Source organism: Homo sapiens, chromosome 4 (assembly GCF_000001405.40).
Source record: "Homo sapiens chromosome 4, GRCh38.p14 Primary Assembly".
Taxonomy (NCBI): domain Eukaryota; kingdom Metazoa; phylum Chordata; class Mammalia; order Primates; family Hominidae; genus Homo; species Homo sapiens.
The window spans coordinates 97,570,949-97,583,906 of record NC_000004.12 but is presented as its reverse complement, the minus strand read 5'-3'; the positions used below and the strand labels follow the sequence as shown (position 1 = coordinate 97,583,906).

General features: G+C 33.0%; 1 protein-coding gene across 7 annotated transcripts in view; it reads left to right on the top strand.

Annotated features, from left to right (window-relative positions):
- STPG2 (sperm tail PG-rich repeat containing 2) overlaps positions 1-12,958 on the top strand; it is a 702,228-nt gene that overhangs the window by 559,570 nt on the left and 129,700 nt on the right. For 2 of the 7 annotated variants that reach the window (XM_047450119.1, XM_047450120.1), the window contains one exon: positions 11,189-11,401. The exons of the other annotated variants lie outside the window; for them this stretch is intronic. In XM_047450119.1, coding sequence (XP_047306075.1) covers positions 11,189-11,209 — 21 coding nt within the window. In that variant the 3' untranslated portion in view covers positions 11,210-11,401. Of the gene's footprint in view, positions 1-11,188; positions 11,402-12,958 lie in introns of those variants that run through there. 7 annotated transcript variants of the gene reach the window in all.

The window sequence follows — 12,958 nt, the reverse complement described above, 5'->3', positions numbered from 1 at the left end:
ATCTCATTTCTAATGTCTAGTAATAATTGTTTTATAAATTTGGGAGCTCCCATGTTAGGTGCATATATATTTAGGATTATGATATTTTCCTGTTGGACTGATTCTTTTATCATTGTATGATGTTTCTCTGTGTCTTTTTTAACATTGTTGCTTTAATGTCTGTTTAATCTGATATAAAAATAGCTATACCTGCTCACCTTTGGTTTCCATTGCATGGAATATCTTTTTACATCTCTTTACCTTAAGTTTATGTGAGTTTGTATGCATTACTTGAGTCCCTGGACAGTGTTTCCTGTCTTTTTCTCCAACCAAATAGTCCTAAATGGCCCATTGCACTGGGAATAATAACACTCTAAGTTGACTATGAGAAGCAGTGATTACACTAGGATGTTTTTCTGTCAGTTCATGTGAAAATAGCAGGAACTCTTGGTTAAGCAAATATATTTTCCAAATTTGTAAAGTGAAGGCTCAATGCTGCTAATTTTTAAAGGTTCTGTTAATTCAATTTCTGTTAATGGCTGCATCATGATGAGACTAGTTCTCTACTTTAGTGTAGCATTGTAAAGGGCCTGCTAGTTAACTGACAGTGTACAGTAGCTATTCTTTTAATTTGTTCTGAGGGATCCTAAAAACACCTCTTCCATTGCTACTTTAGAAATTTTTGTAGTTGATAATGGGGTGGAGCTGGTAGCTGGCTATTGTGAAAATTAGTGTTCTGGACACTTATCTCTTCTTCTAGTGGTTAGAAATTTCCTATAAGTCTGTTTGCAGTCTTGGCAAGAAACCATGACAGCTGAAATCATCAAATCTACATTTGCTTACAAGTTGACAAATGATGAGACTTAACAAGTAGAATCACAGTAATAATGTAAAGGCATTTTCATCAGTAATGTCAAGAATTTTATGTTTCTGCAAAAAAATACATTTCCCAGAATGTTTTACCGATAAGCAAACTACAGTGTTCAAAAAGATCAGGAAATTGTCACATTCTTGGTAATATTTGGCAGTTTGCAGACCTTTTTTCCTCCCAGCTTATGATAGCATTTCACATAGCACTGACCTCATTTATCTCCACTCTGCAGTGTAAATAATATAGAGCTTGCTAGTGAGTCAGTTAACCTAAAATTTATATTTTGATAGCTTTTAGGATTACTACTGGCATTTGTTTGCATTCAGTAAATACAGCAGTTGAACTTATAATTGTGCCACAAATTTACTTATCATTCTAGCCTATATCTTTTGCTCAGTTATGTGGACTGTGTTCTGATTTAGGCTTTTTCTTTCCCATTTCTCAAAAATACTCTTTCTGAGAAATCATATTTCATATTTGTCAGAGAAATAGATTTATTGATGGTTGACAAAAACATAATCAGAAAGATAAAATTATGAGTATGATTAGCAGATGAAAGAGAAACATTAGAATATATAGGCAAACAAATTTTTATTATAATAAAGATAATATCTTCTACTTATTACTGAATTGACTCACTTTTGTCTTCATTCACTATTGCTTGCCATGACATTTTTACCAAAAAAGTGTTGTTTATATTGCATCATGATGTTTACTATTTTTTCAAGCTTATCACTGAATTGATTTTCTAATCCACTAACTGATTCAACCAACAACGCGTATTTGACAAATACACTGATTAGGTGTATGCACATTATATAGATATTGGCAGTTTGTTGTTTAGAAAACATTTGCAGAAAGTATTGGTTCTAAAGTCAATGTCTGACTTCTTGCATAATGAGAGGGAACCATAGAGCAGAAGTAGGAGATGGGGTTGGGGCAGAGGGGGTGGTTCCAGGAGCCAGTGTTGAATGTAGCTGCAGATGCTTGGCAAAAAGAAAATTATTTTAAGGTTAAATTTCTATTTAAAATAGTTATAAAATAATAAGACCAAATAAGAAATAATTATAAACTCGGAACAGAATAAGTGGAATAATTTTTTTCCCATTGTGGACACTGGAAAGATTCCTAGAGCTACTAGATGTAGGAAACAGGAATTTATGGCCAGGCTGGAAGGATAATGTGAAGCTTTCAGATCAGATCAGCCAAAATACAATTATAATTCTTTGGAACTTTAGATCCTTTGACAGATGTTTTATAAAATAATCTCATTTTCTGAATATTTTCTAAGCACGTTATAGCTATTTTGAAAAGAATTTCAAGGATCTGGTTTCAGAGCATACAGTTCTCCTGTCCCATTTGTGTTTGACCATAATATTACAATAATCATTTTTCTCCTGGCTGAACGGCAAGGTGAAATTTAATTGATGAGTTAAATGATAAATGTTCTAATAAGATGCTAGATATTTAGACTTTATAGTGTAATTAATAGTTCCAAATTATTTTTGAAAGTAGGCTGAGTCCAGACTTACATGTAACTATCATCATTATTAGTTAAGTATAAATTAATCTAAACTTACACTGCCTAATCTGCTTTTAAATGATTTCTGCATTGTTCTCCGTAGCTACAGAGTTAGGCCAAATATAATTTTTAGTAAGTGTTATAAATTTTCCTAAAACTAGTTGGCTAATGGGTAAAAGCAGAGACTCCAGAGATATGCCTGGGTTTGAATCTTGGTTATGTTACTTAAAAGTGCTAACTGCCCAAGCTTGTAATCCTTTCACTCTTTGTGGTGCTTCTGGAGTGGCATTGCTCAAAAAAACTTTCTGAGAGAATGGAAATATTTCTTATTACCTGTCAGTTGAGCAACTAAAGTGTGTTTAGTGTGACCAAAGAAATGAATTTGTAATTTATTTTAATATTAATTCATTGAAATGGAAATAGCCACAAATGGCTAGTGGCTACTCTATTAGACACCACAGCTCTAGAGTGTAAAAGTGAAAAATTAACCATCATTACAATCATATCCAAATAAATATAAGTAAATAAATGAAAAACCTTAACTTTTAATCAAAATTTATAATTGTATTTTTTCTGATTAAAAAACCCTGAATTTACTCATAGGAAAATGCAAAGGAACGCATATTTTTTACAAAGCAGGCTTTAAAATGAGCCTTGATGTTTATTTGAAATACCTGTATCTCCATGAAAATTTAATTATATTTCACATAATGAATCAGACTCTTCATCAACATACCTGAAAAATTAGTGAGAATAAAGTATTTTGTTAACTGACCCAACCCACATCAAATGGTGGTTGTCTTGCACTTAAATATTTAGCTAGGATAGAGTAGGATTATAGTCATAAACTTTCCTTTTTCTTTAAAGCAGTTTGTCGTTATTTGGAGGCTGGAAGTTTTCTTGATTAGTAATTAAAATAGTATTTCTTTGAGGAATTTAAATAATTCTCTTTGTGTGTGTGTGTGTGAGAGGGAGAGAGACAGAGACAGAGAGACAGAGACAGAGAGACAGAGAGGGTGAAATGTTTACCATGGCTTCTAATAATCTATGTAGGAAACCATTCATGATTGATCCTTCTTAAACAATCAAGTAAATAAGTAGGAGAATCTTTAAATTTCCTTTAGAGATATGTGTACAAAATTTATTCTAAGTAATATTCTGTCAGATAATCTTTATGTCTTGTTCTATAGCAGTGATAATATTATTATATCATATAATCATTATAACTTGTATTATATAAATTATATGTGTATGTCACCTGGTGATTCTGATAAGGTATCTTCTAAAATGAGTGAGTTAACGCTGTCTTATGACTTTATTGCAGAATAAATACGGACAATGAGTGTCTTCATTTTGACTGCTGCTGAAGAGCTACCTAATTCTTATAGTGTAATAATTGGCTATTTGGAATGGTATTATTTTGACTTCGGTTAATTAGTATAGTTTATTACACACCAGTGCATTAAATACCCACTGAAAAAGTTAATATATTTACCAGAGTGATGAAGATCATGAGTAAGCTGTCAATCCAAGCTTTCTTTCATTATTTCTATTTTCTATCAGTTAGATTGGGCATTTATAATTAGTGATAGATAAATAAAGTGTTGATATATAACACTTAATTTTGATGGCTATATGTATAAGTCTACAACTTATGGGATTAGTGGTTTCAATAAAAGATTTGGTCAATTGTAAAATATAATTGGTTTTTTAATTGCACAGTTTACCTCAATTAGTGTGCAAAATTTTATAAATCTGATTAAATGAGAGAAAATCAAGCTCCATTATTGGAGACCAGAGCATGAACTTAATGAATGTAGATCACCTTAGTGTGGTACACTTTAAAACACAGCCAAAGGGAGATCTATGCAAGTAAATAGATGAATTAAAAGTTTGTTTCTTTTGTAAAGGTGGCAGAAGTTCCAATTTAGAAGATGAAGGGCCAGAGTTTTGAAGTTTCACCAGCAATATTTAATTTTAATCCATTCTTAACTTTGTGATTATTTTAAAATGGAGTTTAAATATAAATGGACCTTGTAAAATTAAGTAATAAATTTAGCAGAAAATTTTTCAAACAAGATAAGTATTTTATTCACTCCAAAACTCCTATTTAGATATATTTCAAATTTTGAGATTAAATTTTTTCTAAGATGCTTAGAAAATTTTTTAAGATGCTTTCCTGAATAGGATAATTAGTCAAAATAGTTAATATTTTAACTCCCATAGATAATGTTTTGTATATTCAGGGTGTGTATGTATGTGTATTCACATATATACTATAAAGCTCCTGTGTATCTCAATATGTACTTTTCTACTAATAGGAAAGCAACATTGAACACACTTAGATATCATTTAATAGCCATAACTAATGATTATTATTATCAACTTACTAAAAATTCATGCAAGTTCTTTGCAGAAGTAGGTGTTTTGTCTAAAAGTCACTTGCAATTTAAAGATTGATTATTGTAGATATTTTCTTCTTTTCTCACTTAAACTTGAGTTCTTAGCTGAAAACAGATGAGTGATTTATTTTTTAGATGGCACTGATATTGTTCGTTTGATGCTAAATGAGTAGGAAAATTTAAAATTCTTAAATCTTAATTAATTCTGCTCCCAGACATTTTTAAATTTTCAGTTCCTAGCCAGTGGAGGCCTGACTATGCCATAGCTTTGAACCCAATACCTAAGTAACGAGGTGCTTAATATAGGTAAGATCAATTTTAGATTGCTGTAAGAAGAAGAACTACTCTCACAATTAGAACTTCTGATTTAGTTAATATTTACTGGAACCCTTTCTTTTTGGTTTAAACCATTGTTGAAAATTGCAGGGAAATTGGCTATTATGTGGATAAAGGGGAAAAAACTCAACAAACCAAAACTCTTGGTTTTTCTCTCTGCTATGTTCATGCCAATAATTCTGGCAAAAAAAAAAAAAAAGTGTGGGTTTGTTTTCACACCAAGTAAGTCTCCAATTCTATGCAGACATCAACTGGGTGTCCTACAACTCAGTTCAATTCTGACGTTATCTACCTGGAGTTAGCTTTAGATTCCATGGATTAAGGGCTCAGTTCCATAACACTGCTCCCTTCTTCAGATGCAATTGAAGTATTGGATCCTCAGGCTACCCACTACTTCTGTCTCAGTTGGCTACATATTGAAACTTCCCATGACCTCCTCTTTAGGCCAGATAATTTGGTCATAGAAAACAGTAAAACTCTAGTTTCACTCACTAGAAACCCCATATTTACCAAAAATACACAAATTTAGCTGGGAGTGGTGGCACACATCTGTGGTCCCAGCTACTCGGGAGGTTGAGGTGGGACAATCGCTTGAGCCTGGGAGGTGGATGTTGCAGTGAGCCTTGATCACAGCACTGCACTCCAGTCTGGGTGACAGCATAAGAGACTCCATCTCAAAAAAAAAAAAAAAAAAGAAAGAAAGAAAGGATAAATTATTTTCCTTTGGTAAACTGAGAGGTTAATTAAATCTAACAGGAGGCGTGTTATATTCGTAATATCTTCTTGCCAGTGTGTAATTCTATAAATTTCTGAAAATGGATATATGTCTGCAAAGATAATAACTTTATTTTTTGAGGACCTTTAGTATATTTTGGATTATAATTTTTGAACATCCATGATCATTATTAACTGTATTGTATACATTACTGACAGTTATTGTTGAAATTAACAATTAACAATTAAAATAGTTTAGTTAAGTACTTTATAATTAGTGTTAAGAGAAATCTGTCCTGGTTAATAGATGTGAAAAGAAAGAAAAAGATGAACTATTTATTTTTATATGTTTGTTTTAGATTCAGGAATACATGTGCAGGTTTGTTATATGACATATGGTATGAGGCTGAGGTTTGGGGTATGATTGATCCTGTCACCCATGTACTGAGCATAATACCCAATAGGTAGTTTTTCAGTCCTTACCACCTCCCTCACTCCCCTCTCTAATAGTCCCAGTGTCTGTTGTTCCCATGTTTAAGTCCATGTGTACCCAATGTTTAGCTCCCACAACTGAGAACAGGCGGTATTTGTTTTTCTGTTTCTAGGTTAATTCATTTAGGATATTGGCCTCCAGCTGCATCCATGTTGCTGCAAAAAGTGTGATTTTTTTTTATGGCTGTTGGTGTTCCATAGTGTATATGTAACACATTTTATTTGTCCAGTCCTCCACGTATGGATACCTAGGTTGATTCCATGACATTGCTATTGTGAATAGTATTGCAATGAACATAAAAGAGCATGTGTCCTTTTCATAGAATTATTTCTTTTCCTTTGGCTGTATACCCAGTAATGGGACTGCTAGGTTGAATGGCAGTTCTAATATTAGTTCTTTGAGAAATTGCCAAACCACTTTCCACAGTGGCTGAACAAATTTACATTACCATCAACAGTGTATGAGTGTTCCCTTTTCTCCTCAGCGTTACTAACATCTGTTATTTTTTTACTTTTTAGTAATAGCCATTCTGACTGGTGTAAGATGGCATATCATTGTGGTTTCAATCTGCATTTCTCTGATGATTAGTGATGATGAGCATTTTTCATATGTTTATTGGTAGATCTTCTTTTGAGAAGTTTCTGTTCATGCCCTTTGCCCAGTTTTTAATGAGGCTATTTGCTTTTTACTTGTTCAATTGTTTAAGTTTTTTATAGATTTTGGACACTAGACCTCTGTGAGATGCCTCATTTGTGAATGTTTTCTCTTGTTCTGTAGGTTGTATATTTTCTATGTTGATAGTCTGTTTTACTGTGCAGAATCTCTTTAATTTAATGAGGTACCACTTGCCAATTATCATTTTTGTTGCAGTTGCTTTGGAGGACTTAATGATAAATTCTTTGTCAAAGCCAGTGTCCAGAAGGGTATTTTCTAAGTTTTCTTCTAGGATTTTTTATAGTTTTAGGTCTTTAATTTAAGTCTTTAATCTATCTTGAGTTAATTTCTTTAGATGATATGTAGAGGTCGATTTCATTCTTCTGCATATGGCTAGCAAGTTATCCTAGCACCATGTATTGAAAAGGGAGTCCTTTCCCCATTGCTTATTTTTGTCAACTTTGTCTAAGTGTGTGGCTTTATTTCTGGGTTCTCTATTCTGTTCCATAAGTCTGTGTGCCTGTTTTGGTGCCAGTTGCATGCTGTTTTGGTTACCATAGCCTCGTAGTATGGCTTGTAGTCAGGTAATGTGATGCCTCTAACTTTGTTCTGTTTTGTTAGGACTGCTCTGGCTATTGGGGCTTTTTTTTTTTTTCATTCCATATATATTAGTATAGTTTTTTTCTAATTCCGTGAAAAATGACCTTGGTAGTTTGATAGCAATATCATTGAATCTGTAAATTGCTTTGGGCAGCATGGCCATTTTACCAATATTGATTCTGCCTATTCATGAGCATGGATTGTTTTTCCATTTGTTTATATCATCTATGATTACTTTCAGCAGTGTTTTGTAGTTCTCCTTATAGAGATCTTTCACCTCCTTGGTTAGATATATTTCTAGATTTTTTTATGCATGTGGCTATGGTAAATGGGATTGCATTCTCTATTTGACTCTCAGCTTAAACATTGTTGCTATACAAAAATGCTAGATTTTTATATATTGATTTTGTGTGCTAGTACTTTACTGAAGTTATTCATCAGTTCTAGGGGCTCTTTGGCAGAGCCATTAGGCTATTTGAGGTATAGAATCATATTGTCAGTGAAAAGAGATAATTTGACATCTTCTTTTCCTGTTTAAATGCCTTTTATTTATTTGTCTTGCCTGATTGCTCTGGCTAGGACTTCTAGTACTATGGCAAATAAGAGTGGTGAGAGTGGGTATCCTTTTCTTGTTTTAGTTCTTAAGGGCAATGCTTTCAGCTTTTGCATGTTTACTATGTTGTTGGCTGTGAGTTTGTCATAGATGGCTCTTATTATGTGTTCCTTTGATGTCCCATTTGTTGTGGGTTTTTATCATGAAAATATGTTAGATTTTTATCAAAAGCTTTTTCTGCATCTATTGAGATGATCATGTGGTTTTTGTTTTTAATTTTGTTTGTGTGGTGAATCACATTTATTGACTTGTATATGTCGGACCAACCTTAAATTTTAGGAATAAAGCCTACTCGACTTTGGTGAATTAACTTTTTGATGTGCTGCTGGATTTGGTTTGCTAGTATTTTGTTGAGGATTTAGATATTGGCCTGTTGTTTTCTTTTTTCATTGTGTCTCTACCAGGTTTTGGGATCAGAATGATGCTGACTTTGTAGAATGAGTTGGGGAGGAATCATTCCTCCTTGATTTTTTCAGAATGGTTTCAGAAGAATTGGTACCAGTTCTTCTTTGTATGTCTGGGAGAATTGGGTTCTGAGTCTATCTGGTCCAGGGCTTTTATTCATTGTTAGGTTTTTTTTTATCACTGATTCAATTTTGGAACTCATTAGCAGTCTGTTCAGCATTTTGATTTCTTCGTGATTCAATCTGGGGAGCTTGTGTGTTTCCAAAAATTAATTTTTTTTTCTGAATTGTCTAGTTTGTATTCATAGAAACATTCATAGTAGTCTCTAAGGATCTTTTGTATTTCCGTGTGATTTTTTTGTAATTTCACCTTAGTCATTTCTGATTGTCCTTATTTGGACCTTCTTTTTTCTTTGAAGATTAACTATTAAATAAAATTTTTTACATATACATTGGAAACTTTTTAGAGTTCTTAAAATAGTGATGAAGTGGGATGCAAAAAACACTATCCCAAAATATGGCATCTTAGCATACTTAATCATTTAACCCGAAAGAAAGTTAAAAATCCACAGAAGCAGAAAGGTCTTTCTGACCTCCTCCCACCACTTTTTTGCTGAAAAGGATCATGAAAACCAGAATTCTACCAGCCCCTTTCACCCTGAAACAAACCATAAAACCTGGGACGGTTACTCTCTGATGTAATCCCTCTCTTCTCCTAAAGGCCTTCATGTGACAAGTGTCTGTCCTAAACCCAGAGAGATGGAGTTTGACACAGAGATGCCAAAAAGAATCTGAACAAGCAAGCCTTGCTGAGTTCCCCTCAGTTTATTATCATTAAGTCATACTCTTTTGTCTGCCAATCATACTTTTTTTTTTTACAACTGTCTATAAAGATAAATTGTTTTCTCTGGGTCTTTTCTATCTTCATTTCTGAAGGTTCCTGTGTCACATAAAACTTATATAAATTTGTATGTTTTCCTCTTGTCAATCTGTCTTTTATTTTAGGGATGTCAGCCATGAACCTTGCAATGAGTGAAGGAAGAAATATTTTCCCTTCTACAATAGTTGTATACTTCAGCTCTCTAGAAGTGACTTTTTTTTAACAGAGGGTTTCACGAGTTTATTTAAACACATAATTATTATTTCTTAGAGATTAATAATTATGTTCCTCAACTGCAGTCACATGAAGTACTCTGTGATAGGTAGAATAAAGTCCCCTCAAAACTATCCATGCCCTAATCCCTGGAATTAGTAAATGTGTTACCTTCATGGCAAATGAAGATTCTTCAGATCCGTAAGAAAACTTGTTGAATCCTAGAGGGGTCCTGTTAACAATTCCTTCATTATCTTGTCATGCTTCAAGGCCCAGGAAAAGCCTAGGCAAAACTCTTGGTGGGCTTTTGTTACATTCCAGGCTTTGTATAAGGGCACTGGCTCTATCAGCTTTTAATATTTAACTTAACCACTCAGTCAGTGCTGACATATTTGTCACAGAGGCCTGCCATTTCAGCTGTTAGTGAGACCTGGCCTGCCACATTAGCTCATAATGCTTTATAATTTCCACTAAGCCATGCTTCCTATAGATGAAGAAAATGATAATTAATATATGTGGATATGTAGATATTGAGGACATTTTAAAATTTATTTATTCATTTATGTTTCAAATATCATTGTTTTAAATTGTCTTTTTCTCCCCATAGAAGAGTGCAGACAATTTCAATTAAAGTTCAAAACTTTAAAATTTGTTTATATTTCCATTTTTTATATTATAATTTAAAATGATTACTATGTTAATAATAAATATATAATAAATCCTTGTTTCTACCATGCAGCCTTTATAGCTAACACTGAATGTTTCCTTCTTTTCTCTTCAGATTTCACACATGGTGATTTAAAGCTATCTCGTTTTATTTGACTTTAGGCATCTGACAGAATTGCCAGAATTGGTCTGTTACTTGTGCGGTTTGGGTGAATAAATATGCTATTGAGTTGTAGAGCTTATTTAAAACCTTATATTAGCTATAGTTTTTATTTTATAATACATATAACAATTTTCATTTTATCAAAGTAAGTTTTATATAACGTGTATAGTTATTTTCCAATTATAAAAAGTTTGCTATAGAAATTAGGAAGAATTACAGAAAAATAATAAATTCAGAAACTTGAGGTAAAGAAGAAAATTAAAAATTACCCATATAGAAGAATGAAAATGCATATCGTATTTAGGCTCAGAAAATGTCTGAGGCATTTTTATTAAGCCACTGCAGAGGGACGATAACAAACTAGGCTTCTGTCTTAACAACTACAAATTACCCTGAGGATTTTTCTAGTGTTAAAGATAAAATACCTAACTCTACATGGGATAAAACTAGTTAAACGCCTATTGAATTCATTTTGCATTCATTTACATATGAATTTGAATAATAGTAGGTAAAATTTATTAAAAAATTATCATCTCTAATACTAACCATGTTTTCTTATTTCTCCTATTTAAAGTATGTTTCACAAAACCTTGACATCCATATAAACCAGAAATGAATGGAAATTGGGATTCTGTTTTAGTGTTCAGTGCTAAATGTACTATTCACCTTCAACTTCAGGTCTCACAGTTTGGAGGATAGAATGGGAAAATGCTGATTGCAAGTTATTTCCGACATCCTTGAACTTACCTGTGAGTAGCAGTCATGGGATCATGTGGGTTTACAAAAGCACACTATCATTTGCATAAATAAGGCATGATATTTCCCTTATGTTAATAACCAAAGATTCATTTTCAAATATAAATAAACATACAAGATGTCATTTAGAATGTGCATTATATTTTGAAATTTTGTCATGACTTTAGAGATTTCAAAAACTGTTCTTATATGAGATGTTCAACTTATACAAGATCTTCAACCAAGATATAATAGCTGCTGCATGTAAAAAAGTTACTTGAAAGAAAGAGAAAATCTTAACAAATCTATGATGACAGGAATGAGTAATAAGCAGTGGTTACTAACAGAGAAAATAGTTTGTTGGAAACTGCTGAAGTAACTGAATGGCTGTATCTTGAGAGTACAGGTATTTCTTACATGATACACAGTCCACAGATCCTCCTGCCATTTCACTCCATGGTCATACTGAAAAAATGAATCAAATGAAAACTGAAATGCAGACAAGTGATTGTGTAAACAAGCAAGTGCATGCAAAAGTATTAGAAATAAAATACATAGTTAAGACCAATAGTCTGATGAGAACCTTAAAAATGTTCAGAAAGCATTGTATTCAAGCAGTGTACAAAACTTCATTTTGAGCGATTATTTCACTTAATTTGCCACACCATTGTGTAGCAAATGGTGAAGTCCAGGAGTTAAGAAGAACATAGATATATACCTTGGATAGTTACTAATCAAGTAATAAGCTTGGTGACAATGTCATACATATACTTGCAGAAAAAGCCAAAAGATATGTCAACGAAAAGAGTCAAACTAAAATATTTGAAGAGATTTATTGTGAGCCAAATATGAATGACCATGGCCCATGACACAACCCTCAGGAGGTCCTGAGAACTTGTGTCCAAGGTGGTCGGGGCGCAGCTTGGTTTGATACATTTTAGGGAGGCATGATACATCTATCAAATACATTTAAGAAATACATTGGTTTGGTCCAGAAAGGTGGGACAACTCAAGACAAGGACTTCCAGGCTACAGGTAAATTTAAATGTTTTCTGGTTGACAATTGGTTGAGTTTATCCAAAGACCTGGGATCAATAGAAGGGAATGTCTGGGTTGCTATAAGAGGTGGTGGAGAGCAAAGCTTTACCAGGTAGATGAAACTTTTAGCTGGCAGGCTTCAGAGAGAATAGGTTGTAAAATGTTCCTTATCAGATTTAAAGTCTGTGTTGATGTTAGTGCCGTAGAGGTATAATGAGGCACGTTCGACCTCCACTTCCCTTCATGGCCTGAAACAGTCTCTTGGGTTAAATTTTAAGAGCCCTGGCTGTCAGGTGCTGCATTCAGATGGTTGGGGAGCCTTAGAACTTTATTTTTGGTTTATGGATACTAGTCCTTCTACCAGTTTCAGTCGAAGGCTATCATCTATTGAATTTCACATATTTACAGTAACAAGACTAATTATTTTACCTGTGCTATAATGTCAAACTTTTAATAATTAATACTTATATTTGGGGAAATAAAAATTTAAAAATAATTAAAATTATTTTAATTACATTTAAATACTATACCATCCAAGAAGTTCAACTTTAGCATTATATTAAATGTTTTAACCATGTATTTTTAAATATTTTACAGAAAGATGGCAACAAAAGTAGAAAGTTTTTGGAACCAGTTGAGATTAAGTTCTGCAGGGGAAAAATAAACCCCATAGGA